This window comes from Homo sapiens, chromosome 19 (genome assembly GCF_000001405.40).
Source record: "Homo sapiens chromosome 19, GRCh38.p14 Primary Assembly".
Lineage (NCBI taxonomy): Eukaryota > Metazoa > Chordata > Mammalia > Primates > Hominidae > Homo > Homo sapiens.
Window position 1 is genome coordinate 42,028,943 of NC_000019.10, and position 25,326 is coordinate 42,054,268.

The 25,326-nt window shown below is 49.5% G+C and overlaps 1 protein-coding gene across 10 annotated transcripts in view, besides 6 other annotated features; it reads right to left on the reverse strand.

Moving 5' to 3' along the window:
• GRIK5 (glutamate ionotropic receptor kainate type subunit 5) overlaps positions 1–25,326 on the reverse strand; it is a 71,883-nt gene that overhangs the window by 30,619 nt on the left and 15,938 nt on the right. For 9 of the 10 annotated variants that reach the window (XR_935810.3, NM_002088.5, XM_011526862.3 and 6 more), the window contains 3 exons: positions 24,883–24,987; positions 24,660–24,767; positions 13,610–13,813 (listed from right to left, as the gene is read on the reverse strand). Coding sequence is in view for 9 of the 10 variants with exons in the window: in NM_002088.5 (NP_002079.3) it covers positions 13,610–13,813; positions 24,660–24,767; positions 24,883–24,987 (417 nt within the window). In the remaining variant the exon portion in view is untranslated. Of the gene's footprint in view, positions 1–9,177; positions 9,987–13,609; positions 13,814–24,659; positions 24,768–24,882; positions 24,988–25,326 lie in introns of those variants that run through there. The other variant, XM_011526870.3, reaches the window with a different exon arrangement.
• Positions 3,040–3,812: an enhancer, noted in NCBI's record as "OCT4-NANOG-H3K27ac hESC enhancer chr19:42536134-42536906 (GRCh37/hg19 assembly coordinates)". NCBI's record gives its function as "activates a minimal SCP1, AML or CMV promoter by ChIP-STARR-seq in naive H9 embryonic stem cells {active_cell/tissue: H9 hESC(naive)}" and the evidence as "EXISTENCE:reporter gene assay evidence [ECO:0000049][PMID:30033119]".
• Positions 5,815–6,109: an enhancer, noted in NCBI's record as "tiled regions #411 and #7488 (exact overlaps); K562 Activating DNase unmatched - State 4:PromP, and HepG2 Activating non-DNase unmatched - State 12:CtcfO". NCBI's record gives its function as "activates a minimal TATA promoter and a strong SV40 promoter by Sharpr-MPRA in K562 cells, with weaker activation in HepG2 cells {active_cell/tissue: HepG2 | K562}" and the evidence as "EXISTENCE:reporter gene assay evidence [ECO:0000049][PMID:27701403]".
• Positions 5,815–6,149: a biological region, named in NCBI's record as "Sharpr-MPRA regulatory regions 411/7488 and 4104".
• Positions 5,855–6,149: an enhancer, noted in NCBI's record as "tiled region #4104; K562 Activating DNase matched - State 4:PromP, and HepG2 Activating non-DNase unmatched - State 12:CtcfO". NCBI's record gives its function as "activates a minimal TATA promoter and a strong SV40 promoter by Sharpr-MPRA in K562 cells, with weaker activation in HepG2 cells {active_cell/tissue: HepG2 | K562}" and the evidence as "EXISTENCE:reporter gene assay evidence [ECO:0000049][PMID:27701403]".
• Positions 6,080–6,129: an enhancer, noted in NCBI's record as "active region_14696". NCBI's record gives its function as "activates an Ori minimal core promoter by ATAC-STARR-seq in GM12878 lymphoblastoid cells {active_cell/tissue: GM12878}" and the evidence as "EXISTENCE:reporter gene assay evidence [ECO:0000049][PMID:35858748]".
• Positions 6,347–6,846: an enhancer, noted in NCBI's record as "H3K27ac hESC enhancer chr19:42539441-42539940 (GRCh37/hg19 assembly coordinates)". NCBI's record gives its function as "activates a minimal SCP1, AML or CMV promoter by ChIP-STARR-seq in naive H9 embryonic stem cells {active_cell/tissue: H9 hESC(naive)}" and the evidence as "EXISTENCE:reporter gene assay evidence [ECO:0000049][PMID:30033119]".

Consider the following 25,326-nt stretch of genomic DNA (forward strand, 5'->3'; position numbering starts at 1 on the left):
CTGGCTAGGTCAGTGCAGTGGCCCATGTCTATAATCTCAGCACTTTGAGAAGCCAAAGAAGGAGGATTGCTTGAGCCCAGGAATTCAAGACTAGCCTGGGCAACACAGTGAGACCCCATCTCTACAAAAAAAAATTTTTTTTTTGAGACAGAGTCTTGCTCTGTAGCTGGGCTAGAGTGCAGTGGCGCAATCTCAGCTCACTGCAACCTCCGCCTCCTGGGTTCAAGCAATTCTCCTGCCTCACCCTTCCAAGTAGCTGGAACTACAGGCGTGTGCCACCATGCCCAGCTAATTTTTGTATTTTTAGTAGAGACGGCGTTTCACCATGTTGGCCAGGATGGTCTCGATCTCTTGACCTCGTGATCCGCCCTCCTCAGCCTCCCACAGTGCTGGGATTACAGGCGTGAGCCACCGAGCCTGGCTGCTACAAAAACTTTTAAGAATTAACTGAGCATAGGTGTTTGAGACCAGCCTAGCCAACATGGTGAAACCCCGTCTCTACTAAAAATACAAAAATTAGCCAGGCTTGGTGGCAGGCGCCTGTGTAATCCCAGCTACTTGGGAGGCTGAGGTTGCAGTGAGCCGAGATCGCGCCACTGCACTCCAGCCTGGGGGACAAGAGTGAGACTTCGTCTCAAAACAAACAAAAAAACCCTAGAGGTCTGCACCATGAGCTAGCCACTGGTGCTTGCTCAAGGCTCCATACAGCATTCCTATTTGCCATCAATACTTTGCGAATGAATCTCCCGATCTGCTGGTTACATCTGGCCCAGGTGGCAGATCAGCTCGCATGCAGCCTGGACTGGCTGCAGAGTCTTTGATGCTCTGGACCTCACTCCAGATGAAAAAAGCCTTACGGGCTGTAGGGAAAGTAAATGGATTGAAGTAGCACATCCCAATGTGGTATGAGTTGCCACCAAAATCCAAAAAGTCCACCAAATGTCACATCATCAACCAAACAGCACCCCCTCCTCAGCAGTCTGTCTCAGCTCTGTGGGGCCCTCCTCTAAGCTTCTAAGTTTTCATCTTTCAAACTCTTCTACTTGTCCCTTAAGGACTAAGTGTGGTAGCTGCTTTCTGCCGTTGCTACTGCCATGACCTCTTAGTTTTCTTTTTACCCCTTAAGTTAGCTGGTTAACAACTTTACATTTAGTTAACAATTCTTTATACTAAATACTCTCTATTCAAATAACTGATATGATTCTATTCAAGTAAATGGAGCTGGGTTTTGTTTTGTTTTTATTTTTGTTTTTGTTTTTGTGACAGAGTCTCGCTGTCGCCCAGGCTGGAGTGCAGTGGCACGATCTTGGCTCACTGCAACCTCTGCCTCCTGGGTTCAAGCGATTCTTGTGCCTCAGCTTCCTGAGTAGCTGGGATTAAAGGTGCGTGCCGCTGAGTCTGGCTAATTTTTGTATTTTTAGTAGAGATGGGGTTTCACTGTGTTGGCCAGGTGATCCACCCACCTCAGCCTCCCAAAGTGCTGGTATTAGAGGCGCGAGCCACCGTGCCCAGCCAGGGTTTTGTTTTTGTTTTTCAGACAGGGTCTTGCCCTGTCACCCAGGCTGGAGTCCAGCAGCGTGATCATAGCTCACTGTAGTCTCGAACTCCCAGGCTCAAGTGATCCTCCCACCTCAGCCTTCCGAGTAACTGTGACTATAGGCATGTGCCATGCCCAGCTAATTTTTTTTTTTTTTAATGTTTAGTAGAGACAAGGTCCTGCTATGTTGCTGAGGCTGGTCTTGAACTCCTGAGCTCAAGCAATCCTCCTGCCTTAGCCTTCCAAAGTGCTGGGATTACAGGCATTAGCCACTGCATCTGGCAACCGGCGCTGTTTTGTATCCAGACTGGACCCTGCCAGACTGGACCCTGCCAGACTGCCATCTGCCAGGTTTAATGCCAACTGCACTGACTCAACTACTTCCTGCTCATCAGATCTGATCAGCATACTGTTGTCAATGTAGGGGACCAGTGTGAGGCTATGTGGACTGTAGAGTTCAAGTTCTTTGCAGCCTAAATCAGGACAGAAAGTGGGAAAGTTGATGTCACACTGAGCAAGACTGTGAAGATGTGAACCTTGCCTTCTGGTAGCCCTTGGAAATTGGTATGGAGAAAAAAGCATCTGCCAGGTTAGTAGCTCACACCAGCTGCCAAGGGCTGTGCTGACTTGCTCCAATAGAGAAACTTCATTTGGGACAGCAACTGCAATTGGAGTCACCCCTGATCACGTTGACAATAATCCAAAGTCATTCTTCCAAAATCCATCTGCCTTCTGTACAGGCCAAACAGGCCAGCTGAATGTAGATGGGATCACTACCCCTGCTTCTTCCAAGCCGTTAATGGTGACACTAATTTCCACAATTTGCACAAAGGATAGAGAATTGCTTTTGAATTACTATTCTGGGAAAGACAGGGAGTTCTAGGAGCTTCCACGTGGCTCTTTCTACCATAATGGCCCTGACTCCATGGGTCAGTGCGCCAACGTGGGATTCTGCCAGCTACCATGTGTGTCTATTCCAGTTATACAACCAAGAACTGGGAAAACACAGGGTGGGACCATGGCCCCATCAGGCCCCTTCTGAGTTAACCTGGGCTCAGATTCCACCAATCACTTGACCACATAAGTCCCACTGTGTGGTCTACCAGTCAAAGCAGGAAAAATCAAAATGATATGCCATCCATGAAAATGACAGGGAGTTGTCTAAGTAGCTAAAAGCCGATAAAAACACTCAATGCTGAGAAGGAGCCTATATAGAAACTGTTGTAGTCTTTCTGGAAAATAATTCAACAAAATATCACGAAAGCCACAAAAAGGGTATTCTTCTTCCACCCAGTTATTCTGTTCAGAGAACCAATCCTAAGAAAATAGGCTGCAATGCAGGCAAAGCTTTTGTGCATAAAGATGCTTGTTGGCCAGGTGCAACAACCCATGCCTGTAATCGTAACACTTTGGGAGGCCAAAATGGGTGAACCACTTGAGCCCAGGGACTCAAGACCAGCCTGGGCAACAAAATACAAAACAATTAGCCAGGCATGGTGGTGCACACCTGTAGTCCCAGCTACTCAGGAGGCTGAGGTGGAAGGAGCACCTGAGCCTGGGGAGGTTGAGGCTGCAGTGAGCTGTGATGGCACCACAGCACTCCAACCTAGGCAACTAAGTGAGACGCCAATCTCAAAAATAAAAAAAAGATGTTTGTTAATGATTATTTATAAGAGCACAAACAATAAAAACACCTGGAAACAACTAGTTATGAAAAATGGCTAAATAAATTATGGTACATCCACATGGAATTACTACTATGCAGCCAAGTAACATTCTGTTTAGGTTAAAACAATGATATTATATTTGGCCTTTGAGATGGGCAAAGATTTTATTTTAGAGATTGGTAACACTGACTGTTGGCAAGAGTATGGGAAATTTCACATTCTCATGCACTTTGGTAGGAATATAAATTGGCGAAGCCTTTTTGAACAGCCATTTGGCAGTATACACTTAGAAAAAATTTATACCCTTTGACCCAGCACTTTCACTTCTTGGAATGTATCCCTCAGGAACACTCCCACAAATCCACAGGCCAAGTTTATCATGACACTGGCTATGCTAGCAAAGCTGGAAGCCATCCAAATAGCCATCAATAGGGGATATGGTAAATAATTCATGCTGAGCCACACAATGGAATCCTTATATCCTCACTTGAATTTTAAGCAGGCATCTCAAATGATCCGTGACCAGAGAAAACTCTTGTTTCCCGGCCCCAGCAAACTGCTCCTCCCATGTCCTCCTTATAGTGGAAACTGGCCTCGCCATTCGCCAGCTGCCCTGGCCAAACCCCATAGTCACCCCGATTCCTCTCTTCCTCTTATGCACATCCAAGCTGGCTGCACACCTGACACAGCTGCCACTCAAACCAAGGCAACATCTTCTCTCATCCACACCCTCCAACAGCCTCCTAAATGGACCATTCAGTTTCTACTCTTGTCCCACTAAGGTGTTCCTCAAGACAGCAGCCAGTGCAATCATTTTTAAATGATTTAAAAATTAGATCCTGCTGGCCTATGCATACAATGGAATATTATTCAGCCATAAAAAGGAATGCAGGCCAGGCGCAGTGGCTCACGCCTGTAATCCCAGCACTCTGGGAGGCTGAAGCGGGTGGATCACGTGGTCAGGAGATCAAGACCATCCTGGCCAACATGGTGAAAGCCTGTCTCTACTAAAAATACAAAAATTAGCCGGGTGTGGTGGCGTGTGCCCGTAGTCCCAGTTACTCAGGAGGCTGAGGCAGGAGAACTGCTTGAACTCATGAGGTGGAGGCTGCAGTGAACCGAGATCATGCCACTGCACTCCAGCCTGGGCGAGAAAGCAAGACTCCGTCTCAAAAAAAAAAAAAAAAAAAAAACGGAATGCAGTACTGGTATATGCCATGATGTGGATGAACTTTGAAAAGTTGGAAACATCATGCAAAGTGAAAGAAGCCATACACAAAGACCGCATATTGGATGATTCCATTTATGTGAAATATTTGCAATAGGTAAACCCATGGAGACAGAAAGATGGGTGGTTGCCAGGGGTTGGGGTAGCGGGGAGGGAGTGGGGAGCGACTGCTTAATGGGTATGAGTTTTATGGGAGGTTATGAAAACGTTTTGGAGCTAGATAGCAATAGTGATTACACAACACTGTGAATGTACTAAATGCCACTGAATTGCACTCCTTAAAGTGGTTATTTTTATGTGACATAAATTTCACCTCAGTAAAAAAGAGAAAAAAAATTGATCAGGCTGGGCACGGTGGCTAATGCTTGTAATCCCAGCACTTTTGGGGGGCCAAGGGAGATGGATCATTTGAGGCAAGGAGTTCAAGACCAGCATGGAAACAAGGCAAAACGCCGTCTCTATTAAAAATATAAAAATTAGCCAGGCATGGTGGTGTGCGCCTGTAATTCCAGCTATTTGGGTGGCTGAGGCACAGGAATTGTTTGAACCCAGGAGGTGGAGGTCGCAGTGAGCCGTGGTCGTGCCACTGCACTCCAGCCTGGGCTACACAGTGAGACTCTGTCTCAAAATAAAATAAAATATCATGGCACATTCCTTGCTTAAAACCTTCCAGTGGCTCTGCAGCACGATAAAAATAACAGCCAAGGCCAGGCATGGTGGCTTACACCTGTAATCTCAGCACTTCAGGAGGTCGAGGCAGGTAGATTGCTTGAGCCGAGGAGTTCAAGACCAGCCTGGCCAACATGGCAAAACTCTGCCTCTACAAAAATACAAAAACCAGCCAGGCGTGATGGAGCGTGCCTGTAATCCCAGCTACTGGGAAAGCTGAGGTGGGAGGATTGCTTGAGCCTGGGAGGTTGAGGTTGCAGTGAGCCAAGATGGCACCACTGCATTGCACCACTGCACTCCAGCCTCGGTGACAGAGCAAGACCCTGTTTCAAAAACTAAAAAATAATAATAAAAAATAACAGCCACACTCCTTAGCAGTGACTGTGAGGCCCTGGGATGTGGGCCCTGCTCTCGGATCTCTCTGCCCCTCACTTTTTCCCCTCAACCACACTTTTCCCCTCAAGTCTTTATACATATGGGCTCTCTACTTGGAAAACACTCTTCCCCAGATCCATCCTTTCACTTGGCAATTATTTGCTGCGCACCAGCTGGGTGTCAGATGGTTCTAGGCGCTGGGGATGCAGAAGTAAGGAAAATAGTCAAACTTCTGCCCTCATAAAACCCTCCCTGGTGGCTCTTCTCAGGACTGTATTCCCCACCCCTTTTAGGTCTCTTCTCAAACGTTATCCAACCACCTTGTCTAAAACAGCATCCACGCACCAGACACTTTTATCTCCTTACCTTGCTTCACCTAACACGATATTAATATATCATACGCTGTCAGTTTCCCCCACTAGAACATCAGCAGTTGGGGCGGGGGGCGGGAAGGAGGGGACAAGGAGCACCTCTGCTCATTACATTGCTGCCCCCTAGTGGCCAGGATGCAGTGGGTGCAGAATAGTTGCTCAGTAGTTATTCAGTAAGTGAATGACTAAATGTAGCTGGTTTGTTTTTGTTTTCGTTTCGCTCTTGTTGCCCAGGCTGGAGTGCAATGGCACCATCTCGGCTCACCACAACCTCTGCCTCCCAGGTTCAAGCAATTCTCCTGCCTCAGCCCCCTGAGTAGCTGGGATTACAGGCATGCGCCACCACATCCAGCTAATTTTTTTGTATTTTCAGTAGAGATGGGGTTTCTCCATGTTGGTCAGGCTGGTCTCGAATTCCCAACCTCAGGTGATCCGCCCACCTCGGCCTCCCAAAGTGCTGGGATTATAGGCGTGAGTCACTGCGCCTGGCCTAAACGTAGCTGTTTTTAAAGATGAGGCAGATCTATGTGTACTAACGTGGGAAGATGGCCAAGTTACAAGTAAAAAAAGCAAACTACACAGCAGTAAGTATAGTAAGATATCATTTTTGCAAAAATAAAAATTTAAGAAATTTAGGCTGGGCATGGTGGCTTACGCCTTTAATCCCAGCACCTTGGGAGGCCGAGGTGAGCAGATCACCTGAGGTCAGGAGTCGAGACCAGCCTGGCCTACATGGTGAAATCCCCATCTCTACTAAACAATACAAAAAAATTAGCCTGGCATGGTGGTGGGCGCCTGTAATCCCAGCTACTTGGGAGGCTGAGGCAGAAGAATTGCTTGAACCTGGGAGGTGGAGGTTGCAGTGAGCCAAGATCGTGCCACTGCACGCCAGCCTGGGGAACAGAGCCAGACTCTGTCTCAAAAAAATTAAGAAATTTAAAGATGTACCTGTATTAATGAATTTGTAGAAAATGAGTTGGAGGAATATGGTCTCTGAGGTGTAAGAACATCATGTATATCCAGTGTTTCTGCTATTTGTACCATTTGGTATTTTATCATTTAGTATTACATATATAAACAGAAAATAAAGGAGTTCCTTCTCAAATAATTGCTTATGAAAATTTCTGATGGTATGCAAAAATGCTTTTTAATGCATATATACTTGCTATTGTTGTGCAAAATAGGATTATACTTAATACAAATATGTTTTATAACCGGAAACACAGTATAATGTAAAATTTTTTAATGAAATGGACTTTATTTATTTATTTATTTATTTTTATTTTTGAGACAGAGTCTCACTCTTGTCGCCCAGGCTGGAATGCAGTGGCGCAATCTCGGCTCACTGTAACCTTCGCCTCCCAGGTTCAAGCGATTCTCCTGCCTCAGCCTCCTGAGTAGCTGGGATTACAGGTGCACACCACTACGCCTGGCTAATTTTTTTGTACTTTTAGTAGAGATGGGGTTTCACCATGTTGGCGGGGCTGGTCTCGAACTCCTGACCTCAGGTGATCTGCTCGCCTTGGCCTCCCAAAGTGCTGGGATTACAGATGTGAGCCACTGTGCCCAGCCTATTTTTTTAAAACAGGGTCTCACTCTGTCGCCCAGGCTGGAGTGCAGTGGTGCAATCATGGCTCACTGCAGCCTCAACCTCCCAGACTCAGGTGATCCTCCCACCTCCCAGCCTCCTGAGTGGCTGGGACTACAGGCACATGCCACCACACTTGGCTAAATTTTTTCAATTTTTGTAGAGATAGGGTTTCACCATGTTGCCAAGGTTGGTCTTGAACTCCTGGGCTCAAGTGATCCTCCCACTTCGGCCTCCCAAAGTACTGGGATTACAGGCGTAAGCCACCATGCCTGGCGTGTGTGTGCGTCTTCTATCAGATGAAGAGAACTGGGGACAACATTTCTAAAGACTCCTTGATAGAATCAGTCAATTGCCCATTCAACACTAATTTACTAGAAACCTGCCATGTGTCAGGCCCTGAGCTGGGGACATAGCTAAGTAGACAAGGCTCCCATCCCCAGGGTGTGGAGGCCACAGGTGAGGTGGGTGGGTATTGTCTTGGTCATGCCAGCATCTATGACCTGTGCTGATCTCATCTGTCCCCTGTGATACCCCTCCAAGTTAGGGGGTCACCACTCCCCATTTGAGGAGACACTAAGGCTCAGAGGGGGCAGCCACCTGCCTGCAGGTCACAAAGCCAGTAAGGAGTAAGTCCAGATTTGAACCCAGGGTTAGCCGACTCCAAAACCCATTCTTCTAACTACACTCACATACAGACCGCCTCAAGAAAGGTATCTAGCAGTAGTGACCACATGTGAGCCAGGCATGTGCCAGGCTCTGTGCAAATGCGCTCTCATTTAATTGCCTTAAAACTCACTGGCTGGGTGCAGTGGCTCATGCCTGTAATCCTAGCACTTTGGGAGGCCAAGGCGGACAGCTCACTTGAGGTCAGGAGTTCGAGACCAGCCTGGCCAACATGGCGAAACCCCGTCTCCACTAAAAATACAAAAATAGCCGGGCATTGTGGTGCATTCCTATAATCCCAGCTACTTAGGAGGCTGAGGCAGGAAAATCGCTTGAACCCTGGAGGCAGAGGTTGCAGTGAGCCGAGATCACGCCACTGCACTCCAGCCTGGGCGACAGAGTGAGACTCTGCCTCAAAAAGAAAAACAAAAACAAACAAACAAAAAAACCCTCTGTGAGGGAGGTAACATTAGCCCCTTTTCAAGAGGAGTGACTGACCTTCAGAGATAAGTGGCTTTGCAGGGATCATGTGGGAGCACTGGGGACCTGAAGCTGGCTCCTTCTGGCTCCTAACCAGTGCACTGCTATAGTGGACTCCATGGTGGCTACCCAGACTCTGTTTCAGGAGTGGGGCACTCATTGCCTCAGCTGCCCAGGGTGTAGGTGGCTGATGGCTCTCAGCTCTGTCAGTAGAAGAGCGTCCCCTCACCCAAAGTCCTGACTCTCCCCAAGAGCAGCCCACGTCCAGTGACATATCAGTGGGTGCTTAAAGGCCTGGCACCCTTACCACAGGGGGAGGTCCTTGACGGCCAGCTCAGCTCCAGAGCTGCCTGTGGGACAGCTAAGGCCCAGTTGTGACTGCAGCGCAGCTCAACTCCTCTGCCCAAGCCTGCTTCCTTCCCTCCTGCACAGGGCAGGTTTCCAGGGGCACGCCATCACACCTCCTGCCTCTACATCTCCATCTCAGAGTCAGCTTCCTGGGACCCTGACCTAAGATCTTCTTTGCCCTTGAAGGCTAAGCTTTATCCTGAGGGCCTCAGGGGCTTCAGTTAAAGCATACAAGTGACAGATCAGACTCACACTGTAGAAAGGTTCTATTGGAGGACAAGCTGGGGAGTGGAGAGACTAGAAGCCAGGAGGCCAGTAAGGAGGCTGATGAGAGGGGTGGGACCTGAATTCACACCATGGCAGTGATGGCAGGGAGAAGGCCAATGTCAGCCATGGCCACTGGGTGGAAAAAATGGGTCATAATTCAAGACAGGCCAAGGAGACCTGTGCCTGGCCCAGGGGTGACTGGCAGGATGGTGGTGCCCCAGGCTGTCTTCCATCTGGAAGTCACTCACCAGCTCTGGGCCACCCTGATGGGGTGCCCACCTTGGCTCTCCTGGTCACTAGCCATGGGCCTGGACATGAAACCTTGATGCCTCACTGTACATTTGAGAAAACGGGGCTAATACCAGTCCCTCTCTCACTGGGTGGCCATGAGGAGTCAAGGATGGAGACAAGTCAGAAAGCTCAGACAAGGGCCTGGCACAGCGTGCCACTCCATCAGTGTACTCCGAGCTTCCCAAGTTCCCAGCTGGAGGGCTGGAAAGGGCACGGGCCTTAAGTCAGACACACCTGGCTGCAGCCCTGTGCACTGGGGACTCCAGATCTCACACTGGGCAGTGATCCTCAGGCCATGAAGGACTGCTATGAAAATTATGTTAAGTAACACTTGAAAAGTTCCTCGCACATGGTGTGAAATCAACAAATGACAGCTGCTGCTGTTGTGATGACGGTGGTGACTATTCCTGTGCAGCTCGGCACACTCGGCTATCCCACAGCAGGGCAAGGCCAAACTCCGCCTATCCTTCACGCTCCAGCTCCTCCTCCAGTGTTCTCCCTGTAAATGTCATTGCCATCACCCAGATGCCCAAGCCAGACACAGGAGGAATGCTCTCCCTCCTGTCCTCTCCTGCATCCCCCACCCTAGGCAGTCACCAAGCCCTGGTGCTCTTTAGCCCTTCCCCTAGTCTCTAGCTCTGACGTTCTCCCGCCTGAGGCCCACCAGCTCATTCCTTATCTCCTCACTGGTCTTCCTGTTACCACTGCTTCCCCCAACCCCAGGGCCAATTCACTTGAGCCAGATCAAAACCCTTCAAGGGTGGCCGGGCATGGTGGCTCATGCCTGTAATCCCAGCACTCTGGGAGGCTGAGGCAGGTGGATCACCTGAGTTCAGGAGTTTGAGACCAGCCTGGCCAACATGGCGAAACCCATCTCTACTAAAAATACAAAAATTAGCCAGGTGTGGTGGCATGCGCCTGTAGTCCCAGCTACTCAGGAGGCTGAGGCAGGAGAATCATTTGAACCCACGAGGCAGAGGTTGCAGTGAGCCAAGATCACCCCATGGCACTCCAGCCTGCCTGGGCAGCAGAGCCAGAGTCCGTCTCAAAACAAAAACAAAAACAAAACTCTTCAAGGGCATCCCATGGGCTTTCTGCTGAGGCCCAAACCCTTTAGCCCACTCAGTAAGAGCACATCGGGCTTGTTCACCATGGTATCCCCAGGGTATAGCACAGGGCTTGGTATACAGTAGGCACTCAACAAACATTGGCTGAATGGAAAATGGATGAACACACAAATCTATGTATGTGCTGGCCATGCTGGTATGAATAATAACAATAATAAAAATAGTATAATCCCAGCACTTTGGAAGGCTGAGGTGGGAGGATTGCTTAAGCCCAGGAGTTCAAGACCAGCCTAGGCAACAGGGCCAGACCCCATCTCTACAAAAAACACAAAAATTACCTAGGCATTATGGCATATGCCTATAGTCCCAGCAACTCGGGAGGCTGAGGTGGGAGGATCGCTTGAGCCCAGGAGGTGGAGGCTGCAGTGAGCTGTGATTGCACTACTGCGCTCCAGCCTGGGCAACAGAGAGAGACCCAGTCTCAAAGGAAAAAAAAAAAAGGACACACGCATACAGCACCCACTATGCACCAGGCCCTGTTCTAAGTTCTTCACTGCATGTTGTTCTTCAAAACAACCCTATGTGCTAAAGGGCTGTTATTCCCCAATTTTACAGTTGAACAAACTACAACCTAAAGAAATGTTAAGCACTTGCCCAAAGCCACACAACCAGTGCACAGCAGAGCTAAGCTTTAAACAGCCAACCACAGACACTCTCAGCTGCCACACTTTGCTGGCCCCAGGCCCCAAATCCTCTCACCCTACCCTACTGAGTAGGCCCTGAGACACAAAGGTCAGACAGCTGTAAATAAGAACTGTTCCAGACTTCTCTGTTGGTGAAAAAAGGGCATCCAGTTTAGAGTGACTTCAGGTGCAGGGCTACTCCCTTGGAGCCTGCTTATTTCTGGGATACCAGATGAAAGAATATTTCTGAGCCTACGTGACTAAAGACCAGGCTGTGGAAACAGGTCACGAGGAAGCCTGTGCCCTCAGGTGGGCATAGAGCTGTCAGCTCTGGGGCTTCTCATCTCCTGTCTCACCCGGGGCCTCTTTGGGCTTCAGGCTTTAAAATTCACCCTGGGCTGGGTGTGGTGTCTCATACTTGTAATCCTAGCACTTTGGGAGGTGAGGTGGGCGGATCACTTGAGGCCAGGAGTTCAAGACCAGCCTGGCCAACATGATGAAACCTGTTGCTCCAAAAAATACAAAAATCAGCCAGGCACGGTGGCGCACCTGTAATCCCAGCTACTCGGAAGGCCGAGGCAGGAGAATCGCTTGAACCCGGGAGGTGGAGGTTGCAGGGAGGCAGAGGTTGCTGTGAGCAGAGATCGTGCCATTGCACTCCAGCCTGGGCAACAGAGGAGACTCTGTCTCCAAAATAAATAAATAAATAAATAAAATAATAATAATAATAAAATTCACCCTGACCTTAAAACTCACCCTGGGGCAGAAGTTTTCAAACCAGCTGGCAGCTTTATGGGGCAGCGCCTTGGGACCTGCCTGTGGGGTGGGGTGGGAGGCACCCCCATCTCTGCCTTCACCAGAGCAGCTCTGCTCTTGCCCAGGGTTCTGAGGGAGTTTGCAATTGGAAAAAAAGTTCTGTCAAAATAACTTTTGAAAGTCAGTGCCCTAAGGGATAAACGTCCTTGTCAAGCAAAGTGGCCCTCTCATGTCTTCCCTCGTGATGTTCAGGGGGTTGGATGCTGTAAATTCTGGCATGAGAGAGAGGAGGGTGAGAATCTCTGATGAGCTCTGTCAAGTCTAACGTCAAGGCTGCCCTGGCCATCTCTGGCCACAGCCCCTTGGTCTGCACACCAGCTCTGGGAGTGTCCTAATCAGGGGCCTACTTATCTCCCAGGGCACAGTCCTGCCTCTGGGCAGTTGTGCCCATAGTTTCTCCCACCTGGAATAAAAAGAGGAACTACATTTCAGTCCCCCAGTATCTGCCAAGCGATGTGTGAGGTACTTGTCCCCACGTCCCGTAACCCTCACTATAGACCTGCAAGGTATTATTATCCCCATCTTAGGGAGGGGAAAACTGAGGTTCAGAGGAGAGAAATGACACTTAAGGATTCAAATCTAGGAGTGTCTGACACCCAAAGATCCTTTCCACTGCACCCTTGCCTGCCACCTCCCATGGCCCTGCCTTCCATCCCTCCTCAGCTGCAACCAAATTCTGCCCACGCTCAGGCCCCGCTGGTTCCTCCAGTGCATCCCACTCCCTAGTATCGCCCCATCTTTGTAGATGCTATTTCCCCTGCTCCAAATACACTCCCCTTCTCCCACACCCCCTTCACCTTGCTAACTCCTTCATGACCTTTGGGAATCAGTTTGGGTATCGTCTCTTCTGGGAAGCCCTACTGGGATATCTGACTGGGTCAGGAACCTCCTCTGGGACCGTCCTCTGAGCTCCCCAATCACAGCCCAGACAGCTCTGTGCTGTGGTCATTCACTGTCTTGCGCCCCAAAGAGACTCTAAGCTCTTGGGGGCAGGGTCCAGATCCACTGTGCTCACAGTGGGATCCCATGCCCAGCAAGAGGCAAGGCACATAGTAGGTACTCAATAAACAGCCACTGAATGGGTGAATGTATGAGTTCTACATGCAGCCCTCCAGGTCCATGATGTGCCAGGCCCTCCCTAGCAGGTGCTGGGCATAGCACACAGGTGAGGTGTGCTCCCTGCTCTCAGCCCTGCCTCCTGCAGGAAGCCTTTGACCTCCTCAGACCTTTTCCTGCTCCCCACTCCATGTCTCTTTCATTCACTTAACAAATCTTTGCACACCGACTAATCCAAGGTGGCATGAAAGGGGCATTTGGCAAAGCAGGACACAGGTGGTGATGCATGTACCACCTCTCCTCCTCTGTCCCATCCCACAGCACCCGCCAGGCACAGGCATACAGCGCAACATCAGTGAGGTGGTGTCAGGGGCCCTTCATGGCTCCTTCCTCTTCTGCCACCAGCCAGGCTGCTTCTGAGGTTCGACTGGCTGCCCAGCTGCCCGCCCTCCCTCACTCGCCGGGTCCATGCATCTTTCCCGGCCCCAGTCCAGCCATACCCGGTTGATGAGCTCGCCAACCATGCCCGTCCAGGAGCCGTTGGGCTCGGGCGCCCCGTACAGCCCATCCTCCACCAACCGCAGGCGGTAGCGGAAGCGCAGCAGCTCGGCCAGCTCCCGCAGCATGTCCACGCAGAAGCCCTCGAAGCGTTCGTTCCCCGACAGGGCCTGGAAGTTGGGCCGGCGCATGACGTATGGGTTCTCCTGGGTGGGCAGAAGAAAGCAGGGGTCAGAGGCTGGGTGTCTAGTGGCTGGGTTGCGGATCCTGGAGCCCGGACCAGGCAGGTAGAGCAGGAATCTGCTTGCTGAGCACGGTTGATTTATTCATAGTACACATTTCTCACTTACAAATGCTCAGAGTGGGGAATAGACCTGAAAGCCAGGGAAAAACACATGGGTACTGCCAGTTCCTAGCAGATTGCAGGGAGCCATTTTAATCTTCAGCAGCCAACCTGATGCTCATTGGTGCCAAGCTCAAATGCGTATGAGGGAGGAGGTAACTTTAGAGTCAGACTGGATAGATCTTGTGCCAAAGTGGATCAGGGGCTTTCAGATTTCTTATTACAATTCACAGTAAAAGATACATTTTACCCTGCAACCTAATTCACCCACACATGAACACACGTAACTAGACTTAATTCCACAGAACAGTCCTTGCCCTAGTAACTATGGGCAATACACTGATATTTTCTATTCTGCTATACTTCATCTTTCCACATGGCTGGTAATGACTCACCAAACCAACTTCATGAGCCACTAATGGGTTAAAGATGGTATTCCCTCACCAGGGTTTAGCTCCAGTCCAATTCCCCATGAGGGAGGCAGGCTGAAGATGACAGATGGTGCAATTTTTTTTTTTTTTTTTTTTTTTTGAGACAGAGTCTTGCTCTGTCACCCAGGCTGGAGTGCAGTGGCGCGATCTCAACTCACTGCAACCTCCACCTCCTGGGTTTAAGCGATTCTCCTGCCTCACCCCCGCCAAGTAGCTTGGATTACAGGTGCCTGCCACCACGCCCGCCCAATTTTGTTTTTGTATTTTTAGTAGAGACGGGGTTTCACCATGTTGGCCAGGCTGGTCTTAAACTCCTGACCTCAAGTGATCCGCCCACCTCGGCCTCCCAAAGTGCAGGTGTGAGCCATCGCACCTGGCCCAGATGGTGCAATTTTAAGAGAATTTGGAAACTTAAGATTGTTTTATAAAGTCTCCTGGTTATAAATGTTAGCAACTCTCATGCCTGAAATCTCACTGCTTTGGAAGGCTGAGGTGGGAGGATTGCTTGAGCCCGAGTTTGAGGCTGCAGTGAGCTATGACTGTACCACTGCACTTCAGCCTGGGCAACTGAGCAACTCTGTCTCTAAAATAAAATAACATAAATGTTAGCAACTGATACGGTTAGGCTTTGTGTCCCCACCCAAATCTCACCTTGAATTGTAATCCCCATAATCCCTATGTGTCAAGGGAGAGACCAGGTGGAGGTAACTGAATCAGGGGGGCGGTTTCCCCCATGCTCTTCTAGTGATAGTGAGTTCTCACGAGATCTGATGGTTTTATAATGGGCTCTTCCCCCTTCACTCGGCACATCTCTCTCCTGCTGCCTTGTGAAGAAGGTGCCTTGCTTCCCCTTCGCCTTCTGCTATGATTGTAAATTTCCCAAGGCCTCCCCAGCCATGCTGAACCTGTGAGTCAATTAAACCTCTTTCCTTCATAAATTACCGAGTCTCGGGCAGTTCTTTACAGCAGTATGAAAATGAACTAATACAGCAACCAATTCAAATTCTAATACCAATTATTATTAAATGTTCTGCAGGCCAAAACAAACACAGTTTCTAGTTTGCAATCTCTGACCTACAGTCAGTTTGCCACATTGACGCTTATTTCTGAGGGGTTTGAGCAAACTTTACTGATCCCGTTGTGCCAAAGAAACACAAAAGCAGAAAGAATGGTCCAAGTGCTAGGAAAACAAGGCATGTGATGATGGTAACAAATGGGAAACTTATCTGGACACAGTTATTGTCTAAATGGTTGTTTGTACAATGTCACTTTGGAATAATGAACAAAAGGACTTAGGACTTAGGGAAGAGCCAGGAAAGAGCTTTGGTTAAAATATACACAATGAGCCAGGTGTAGTACCTCAAGCCTGTAACTCTAACACTTTGGGAGGCCAAGACAGGTGGATGGCTTGAGCCCAGGAGCTCAAGACCAGCCTAGGCAACATGGCAAAACCCCGTCTCTATAAAAAATACAAAAATTAGCCAGGCGTGCTGGTGTGCACCTGTAGTCTCAGCTACTCGGGAGGCTGAGGTAGAGTCCCAGAGGCTCAGGTTGCGGTGAGCCGAGATTTCACCACTGCAGGCCAGCCTGGGAGATGGAGCGAGACTCTCTCAAAAATAAAATAAATAAAATATCCACACTGGTTATTGTGTATTGAGAAACTGTGCTGTGCATTCTCTCGATGACATTATTTTAATTCCTTATGGTGACCTTACACTGAAATGGGCATAAGTAGATTCCTTTTACACATGTGGACACGGAGGCTCAAAGTGGTTAGGTGACCTCTGTCACCTCTCATTCATTCAACACACAATTACTGAGCTCCATGGTAGATGTGGCCACAATATTGTGCTGCTTCTTCTAGCAACAGATGGGGTCCATTTCTCCCTGGGTTCAGACTTCTTGGTCTGAGCTGGCCTTATGACTTGTTTTGGCCAACTGGATGTGGCAGAAGTGATGCCGTGTGAATTCCAGAGTCTCAGCCTTCAGAGCAGCCCCCATTTAAGGAAGCCCAGGCTGGCCTGCTGGAGGGTGAGTGAACCAAGGCATGCCAGCCAACAGCCAGCATCCACAGCCATTCTGCACTTTCCAGTCCAGTCTGGACACCAGCTGAATGCTGCCGCAGTGTGCCCAAGTGAGACCAGCCAAAGAACCACTAAGTTGACCCACGGAATCATGCAAAATAATCAACTGCTATTGTTTCAGTTTCTGGGTTCTGGGTGGTTTGTCACACAGTAATAGAATCTCCTACTATGTGGCCAGGTCATAGGCTCTGGACTCCAGGACCCCACAGAGCCCTACAGCTACAGGGTGATGGAATGGAGGGCAGTCAGTGATTCTCTATTAAGCTGCCTTTCCAGAACCAAAATTGTGGAACGGGGAACAAGAATGTGAGATAATACTAATAATAGCGGCAGCAGCCAGCATTTCTTGTGGGCTTGCTGTGTGACAGCAATTCCGTCAGCGTGGGATGGCAGTATTATTACGTCTCTTTTAGAGATGAGGATGCTGAGGTCCAGAGAAGTGAAGTAGTAAGTGGCTGAGAAGGACAAGTTGGTCTGATTCCAAAGCTCCGCTCTTAAGCCCTGTGCTAGACTGAGCTCAAGTGGACAGAATCAGACAGTGGATATGGGAGAAGCCAGAGAGAGACGAGGGACCCAGGTTGGGTATCAAAGCTGGAGAATCAGAAACTGAGAATCCTAGAGACAAGGGCCTGGCTCCCATACAGCCCCCTTGACATATAGAGGATAGAACCAAGGCTCAGAGAGGTAAAGCATCTAGCCCAAGGCCACCCAGCTGAAGCAGGGCAGTGGGAAGGGAGACGGGGCAGAGCTGGGCTTCACAACCCAGTCACTGTGCACTCTGAACCCTGTTCCTTCCACTATGCCAAGCTGATCTCTAAATTCAAGACTGAGGAACTTAGGTTCAGGGTCTCAGGACTGGGGTCTGAGCTTAGGGAGACAAAAAGAGACTGGGGCCTGTGAATAGAAATTAGATAACCGTAATCTAGGACTCAACTTAGAGTCACAGACTATCAGAACAGAAGGGTCCTCAAGGAGCCTCAAATCCAGGGTCTTCAGACTTCAAAAAGAATCTTATGCAGAAGCCCAACACTGCAGCCAGACAATGAGATACTGCTAAGTCCAGTTCTAAGAATTTACCCTACAAATGGCTGTGCATCAAAAACGCAGGTCCAAGAAAGTCAGTGCAGCATTGCTTGTAGTGAGAACAAAGACTGAAACAACCTAATTTGGGCCAAGTTAAAAAGATTATCGATGTCATAAAAGAATCCCAGGCAACCACTAAAATAGCAAGGTCTACAAGATATATTAGGAGGAAAAAAACAAGCTACAGAACAACGTGTACAATATGCTACTCTTTGTTAAAGAAAGAGCAACGATGTGCTTGTATATGCATAGACATTTCTGGGAGGATGGTGGCCTCTGAAAAAAGAAAATGAGAGACCCAGGGAAGGAAGGAAACTGATTTTTCACTCCTCACCTGCCTTGTACTCTTTGAATTCTATTTTACGTAGGTTTGTATTAACTTCTGTCCCTTCCCCAATTTTATTTATTTATTTTTGAGACAGAGTCTTGCTCTGTCACCCAGGCTGGAGTGTAGTGGTGCAATCTCGGCTCACTAGAACCTCTGCCTCCTGGGCTCAAGTGATTCTCCCACCTCAGCCTCCGGAGTAGCTGGGACCACAGGTGCGAGCCACTAAGCCTGGCTAATTTTTGTATTTTTTGTAGAGACAGGGTTTCATCATGTTGCCCAGGCTGGTCTCGAACTCCTGAGCTCAAGTGATCTGCCCACCCCGGCCTCCCAAACTGCTGGGATTACAGGCATGAGCCACCATGCTCAGCCCCCTTCCCCAGTGTAACAATTTTTTTAAAATTGAAGTATGATATTTAAGTGTGTATGAACATGCATGGTTGGCTGGGCTTGGTGGTTCACGCCTGTAGTCTCAGCACTTTAAGAGGCCAAGGAGGGAGGATCACTTGAGCCCAGGAGTTCAAGACCAGCCTGGGCAACATAGGAAGACCCCGTCTCAATAAAAATAACTTATAAAAAATAAAAAGAAATGCAAAGAGTCAAGAAGAACCAAAGTAATCCTAAAGAAGAAAAGCAAAACTGGGGGTTTACCCTGCCAAATGTTAACACTTAATTTAAAGCTATGGTATTTAAGACACTGCAGTACTAGAACAAAGACAGACAAACAGACAATAGAATGGAGTGTTTGGAAACCCACATATAAATGGATATTGATTTGTGACAAAGGTAAAACTGTCCTGAAGGGGGAAGAATTATTGTTATAATAAATGGTGCTGCTGAATTAAATACCCATATGGAAAAAAATGTATTCTGGCCAAGTGCGGTGGATCATGCCTGTAATCCTAGCACTTTGGGAGGCTGAGGCAGGTGGATTACTTGAGGTCAGGAGTTCAAGACCAGCCTGGCCAATATGGTGAAACCCCTATCTCTACTAAAAATACAAAAATCAGCCAGGCGTGGTGGTGGGCGCCTGTAATCCCAGCTACTGGGGAGGCTGAGACAGGAGAATCACTTGAACCCAGGAGGTGGAGGTTGCAGTTAGCCAAGATCGCATGCTACTACATTCCAGCCTGGGCAACAGAGTGAGACTCTGTCTCAAAAAAAAAAAAAAAAAAAAGAAAAAAATGTATTTTGACTCCCCTACCTCACATGCTACATAAAAATCAATTTCAGGAGGATGGCAGACCCAAATGTAAAAGGCAAAATTATTAAGTTTTTAGAACACAAATAGTAGAATATCTTCATGATATAGGGGTATACACGGAATTCTTAAATTCTAAAATCATTAACCATAAAGGAAAAAAGCTGATGAAGAGAACTTTGGTAAAATTAAAAATCAAATCCTTTTATCCAAAATATACTACTGAGAATGAAAAGGTAAGCCACAAAGGGGGACAGGACATTTGCAATACATACATCAGACAAATGACTTGTACCCAAGAATGTATAAATAACTCACAATCAGGCTGGGCGCAGTGGCTCACGCCTGTAATCCCGGCACTTTGGGAGGCCGAGGTGGGCAGATCACGAGGTCAGGAGATCGAGACCATCCTGGCTAATCGGTGAAACCCCGTCTCTACTAAAAATACAAAAAATTAGCCGGGCGTGGTGGCAGGCGCCTGTAGTCCCAGCTACTTGGGAGGCTGAGGCAGGAGAATGGCGTGAACCGAGGAGGCAGAGCTTGCAGTGAGCCGAGATTGTGCCACTGCACTCCAGCCTGGGTGACAGAGCAAGATTCTGTCTCAAAATAAAAAAATAAACAAATAAAAAATAAAAAATAACTCACAAATCAATAAAAAGTCACATATCCCAATTTTTTTAAAATAGAAAAAGACATGAATAGGAACCTTGCAAATGAGGATTTCCAAATAGCCAATAAAGGGCCAAGTGTGGTGGCTCATGCCTGTAATCCCAGCACTTTAGGAGGTCAAGGTGGGTGGATCCCTTGAGCCCAGGAGTCCAAGACCAGGCTGGGCAACATGGTAAAACCCTGTCAATTAAAAAAAATTGTTTTTAATTAGCTGGGTGTGGTGGTGCACGACTGTGGTCCCAGCTACTCAGGAGGCTGAGATAGGAGAAGTGCTGGAGCCTGGAGGTCGAAGCTGCAGTGAGCTACGATTGGGCCACTGCACTCCAGCCTGGGTAACAGAGCAAGACCCTCTCTCAAAAAACAAAAACAAAGAAAAATCAAATAGCCAATAAACACAAAAAGGTGTTCTCCCTTCCTGATCATTAGGGAAATGCAAATGAAAACCACCATATATGGTTGGTACCTTTATACACTCACCACTGACAAACCGAGTAGCAAGTGGAATTTTCATTCATTCGCTGCCGCTGGGAATGAAAGTGAAAGTGGTTCAACCACTTTGGAAGACACTTTTACAATACGTGATAAAGCTAGGACAAACACCCTGGGACCCAGCAACTAGAACACACCCAACAGAAACACCAGTACATGTTCACCAAAAGACATGGAAGAGAACCTTCCTAGTAGTACTATTCCTAACAGCAAAAAGCCAGAAACAAACGTCCATCTAGATTGGATGAATCAGGAAATTGCAGTACATTCAACATACAACAATGAGACTACACTACTTGCAATGACACAGATGAAACTCATAATGTTGCCAGAAGAAGCCAGTCTCAAGAAAGAACACACAGTACGATGCCATTTATATGAGGTTCAAGGGCGGGCAAAGCTGATCTGTGGTGACGGAAGCTGAGATGGGGGTTAGCCTTGGAGGGTTAGTGATTGGAAGGGCATGGGGAGGCTTTGGGTTGGGGACAGCTGGTTGGTTACACAGGTGTGTTCAGTTTTTGAAACTTCAGTGAGAAGTAACACGATTTGTGCACATTTCTGTATGTGTGTTACACTTCAGTGAAAATCAAAAGTAAAAACAAAAAATTAAAGTAGGGTAGGTTCTAGAACATTCCTTACAAGCTGATTGCTTGGACCCTTTCATGAACCTGGGATCCAAATCCTTGTCCAGGATTTCCTGCAGTGTCAACACTGATCTAGTCCAACCTCCTCACTCTGCTATGAATATTTTATTTACGTATTTATTTATTATTATTATTTTTAGACAGGGTCTCACTCTGTCGCCCTGGCAGTGGTATGATCTGGGCTCACTGCAGCCTCAACCTCCTGAGTTCAAGTAATCCTCCTGCCTCAGCCTCCCAAGTAGCTGGGATTAAAGGTGCACACCACCACGCCCAGCTAATTTTTGTATTTTTAGTAGAGATGGGGTTTTGCCATGTTGCTCAGGCTTGTCTCAAACTCATGGGCCCAAGTGATCCTCCCGCCTCAGTCTCCCAAAGTGCTGGGGTTACAGGTGTGAACCACCATGCCCAGACTGCTAGGAATACTTTAATCCCCTCACTTTAAAGGAGGAAACTGAGTATAGAGAGACCTGCTAGGGGCAAACAGTGTGTGGATGGCAGTGCCAGGCTCAGGACACAGCCCTGAGGGCTCAGAAAGTAGTAGAAATAATGGAGGCAATGTGGCCTGGCACGGTGGCTCACGCCTGTAATCCCAGCACTTTGGGAGGCCGAGACGGGCAGATCACGAGGTCAGGAGATCAAGACCATCCTGGCTAACACGGTGAAACCCCGTCTCTACTAAAAATACAAAAAAAAGCCGGGTGTGGTGACGGGCGCCTGTAGTCCCAGCTACTCGGGACACTGAGGCAGAAGAATGGTGTGAACCCAGGAGGCGGAGCTTGCAGTGAGCCGAGATCGCGCCACTGCACTCCAGCCTGGGTGACAGAGCAAGACTCTGTCTCAAAAAAAAAAAAAAAAAAATTAAAAAATAATAGAGGCAACGTGGTGCAAAAGACAGGCATGTGGGCTCTGCTGCCTTCTAGCTGGGCGACCTTGGGCACGTCATTTAACCCTCCTATGCCTGAGTTTCTTCATCCGAAAATCAGGGCTTCTGTGAAGATTGTGTCACATGAGCACAGGGCTTGGCACAACACTCAAAGCCATGAACCACAAGCTCAGGAGAGGGAGGGAGGGAGGGAGGTGCTCTCACACGTACCTTGGGCACTGCAAGGGCCTTCTTAGCTCATGTGATCCTCCCACTGCCCCTCAAGGCGAGACGCAGACCCGTTGTATAGATAAAGCAATGGATACTGTAGTTAAGTGACTTGAACTAATAAGAGCGGAGGAATGGGACTGAGGTCCCTCTGTCCGCAGCAGAGAGACTACTCTTAACTGCCACACTAGTCACCAAAGGGCAGAGTGAGGCATCTCAGCTCAATGAAGGGAATCCTCAGGACCACCTGGGTACCCTGACAAATTCTCCAAGACTGGGGCGAGACCAGCGGCTGAGGAGGGCGGGCCTATGCACAGCCTCAACTCCGTGGGACTTCTGCACCCCCAGCTTCCCCATGGGGCCTCTCTCTATCTCAGCGCCAGCCCATCCTGTCTCAGCACAAGATCCCTGAGCCTGCCCCAGGGGCAGCGCCAGCCTGCACCCCATCACCAGAGGCCCTCGCTCCCACACCCGGACCACCTCTAATCCCTAGCAGCATCCCTCATGGGCCAACAAGGAGCCTTCCTGACTCCAGATCTGGCCCCGCCCCTTCCTGCTCAACACTCTCTCCCCAAGGTAAAGCACAGGACAACTGAGTCCTTCAGAGCCCCTTCCCCACCTGCTGCCCCGCAGCCCCTAGGCTGCCTCTGTCCCAACACTCACCACAACCCTCTGTACTTGCTAGGTATTAGTCACAGCTCTAGGCCCTGGGATAGAGCAGCGAATGAGACAAGTTCTAACCCACATCTTGCCCTAGGCACCCAGTTTGAGTCACATCTGAATCTCCAAGTGCCTGACACAGGTCTTGCCCAGAAACCCATGTCAGGCAATACCAGCGAATGAACAGGGCTTGTCTGGCTGTGTACACAGAGGCTGTTGCCTCCCTGTTCAACCTGACAAACACCTCCCAAAACCCCAGCTCCTGCCCCTCCTGCCGCTCCTGCTGCCTGGGATATTTTCTGGGCACCCAACTCCTATGCAACCCCATCTAATGCCACCTCTGCCAGGAAGCCTTCCTCCAGCCTCCTAAAGCTGACTCAGTCCCTCCTTTCTTTGGTAGTCCCTCATTGTGGGAATGACTGTGTCCAGGTCTATCTCCTCCATCAGACTGGGACCGCCTCCCAGTGCCACCTGAGAGCACCTGACTCATATCTGTGCTTCTAGAATGTAAGGGCCAGCACCATACAGCTTTGGTAAATATTTATGGAATGAATAAGTGAATCAACCCATCAAGAGATAGGTGAACATCAGGAAGGGAAGAAAAATACAAGCTCCCAGGCCTTGAGGAGAAGCAGGGAGGAGAGTGAAGACACTTGAAGCTCCCAGGGTCACAGCTCAGCTCTCCTGACCTCCCCTCCCTGACCTTTGCACCCTGTTCCCCACCAAGGCCCCCAACTCTTCTGCCTCCAGGAGGCTTCAGGGATTGACCGCACACCACAGCACAGAGGGTCTGACTGCTCCTAGCCAAGCCCCCAGGGCTCCCTGGGGAGGCTGTTAGGAGGTGTCTGGTTTCCCGTCTGCAGGCCATCTGTCCCTCCACAACAGGATCACTGGCCCTGCTCCAGAGGGACTCGAGGTCCATTTTAGATCAGGAGTTCCCTAGGGACTGAGGGAACTGCTCTGCGACTCACTGCTTTAGGTGGCCCTCTAACATCCTGCAAAACCCTCTTGTAACCCTCTCTGAATGTCAGCATCCACAGCGAATAGCTGACACAGCTCAGAGTTACTGAGCGGCTCCCTCACTAACAATGAGTGCTGACAGGCCACGGACTTGGCCACTGTGAAGAGCATGGCTGCCTGGCATGTCCAGCCTCCAGGCCAGCCGCTTGGGGAAGCCTCCTGCTCGCCAGGCCCTGTGGATCACCCCCTCCCTGACCTCCTAAGGCACTGGAAGCCCATTGTGCCTGGCAGGAGTCAGCATGGTGCAGCAGAGAGGGCACCAGCTCCGAGCCTGACACTAGCTCTGCCGGGGACTCACTGTGTGACCTGCTTCCTTACCCTCAAAAGGGGGAAATAAGACAAAGCTCACAAGGGTAGCCGTGAGGTCTAAAGAATGACGCTTGGAAAGGGCCTAGCACAGTGCCCGGTGCAGAACAGGCAATCAATAAATACTTGACATACAAAGGCCCCTCTGCCTCTGATTTGGTGAAATGCAGGAGTGGCACCCCCAGGGCTACAGGACAACGTCCCTGTCTGGTGCTTGGGTACTGAGAGGTCTGGAGCTTCAGAACACAGAGGTCAAGACTCAGGCTCTGAAGGATTAGAGACATAGCTTCCAGTCCTGGCTGTGCCGGGTGCTTGCTGTGTGACCCTGGGCAAGTCGCCTCCCCTCTCTGAGCCTCAGTTTCCACAACTTCAAGATGGACACTGAGTTGGCATTGTTGATACATGTTGTTGGCAAGGGTGGCAAAACAACTGTTCTGGCAATCATGATTCATCAGGATTGACCAGAGCCAGATACTGTGCAAAGAGCTGGGTTAAATCTGGCCCTGAGGGCAGTCTGCTCCCTCCCTGCTCTGGCAGCATTTAGGATGGTAGCACCTTGTTCACAACCTGGAGTTGCTGCGTGCAGGAATCCCAGCCCCCACTGGCCTATGCGCTGTGCCAGCCAATGCATCCCTCCACCTCACGGTGGGAGCTAGGACTGGGCTCAGGGCAGCGCCACTCCCAGGCCCCCATCTAGGGCCACTCACCAGGATGGTTGTGACCACCAGGGTCTTGTTGGCCAGTGTCTGCGACAGGTTGATGTCCAGGGTGGTGGCATTCATGGCCAGGGTGCGGTTAGAGTACCACACCCCAATCTAGGGGGCAGAGAGGGTGCTGTCAGCTCAGGCCCTGCCTGAGGTCATGGCAGCCTCTGGGCCCGCCCCCACCCTCACCCCAGCAGGGCTCTGGCGTCACCCTGGGTCTGCTCACCTCACGGTGGCCCTGCCGGGACTTTTCTAGGATGCGCAGGGTGTAGTTGGTTCTCTGCCCTTTGCTGTTGAACTCGACCCGCCCGGTCAGCCCATCATACTCTACCTGGCAGGGTGGGGAGGTGGGGCAGAGGGAGAGTGCAGGGGCCCAGAGATGGGCAGGGAAGGCCCAACGTGGTGAGACATCCACAGAGAAAGGCACAGACAGACCGGGGTGGAGGGGACAAGAGAGAGAAGAGGAAGATCACAGTCAAAAGAGCAAGATAACATGCAAGGAAGCAAGAGGAGATGGGACAAAAGGCATGAAGAGGGCAAGACTCAGAAAGAGAGAGAGAGAGTAACCCAGATAGGCAGCAACAGCCAGGAGTGGACAGGGGAGGCAGTGGGTACGGTGGGAAGAGCAGGGAGGGCAGAGGGCCACAGGGTGGTCACAGTGAGCGCTCCC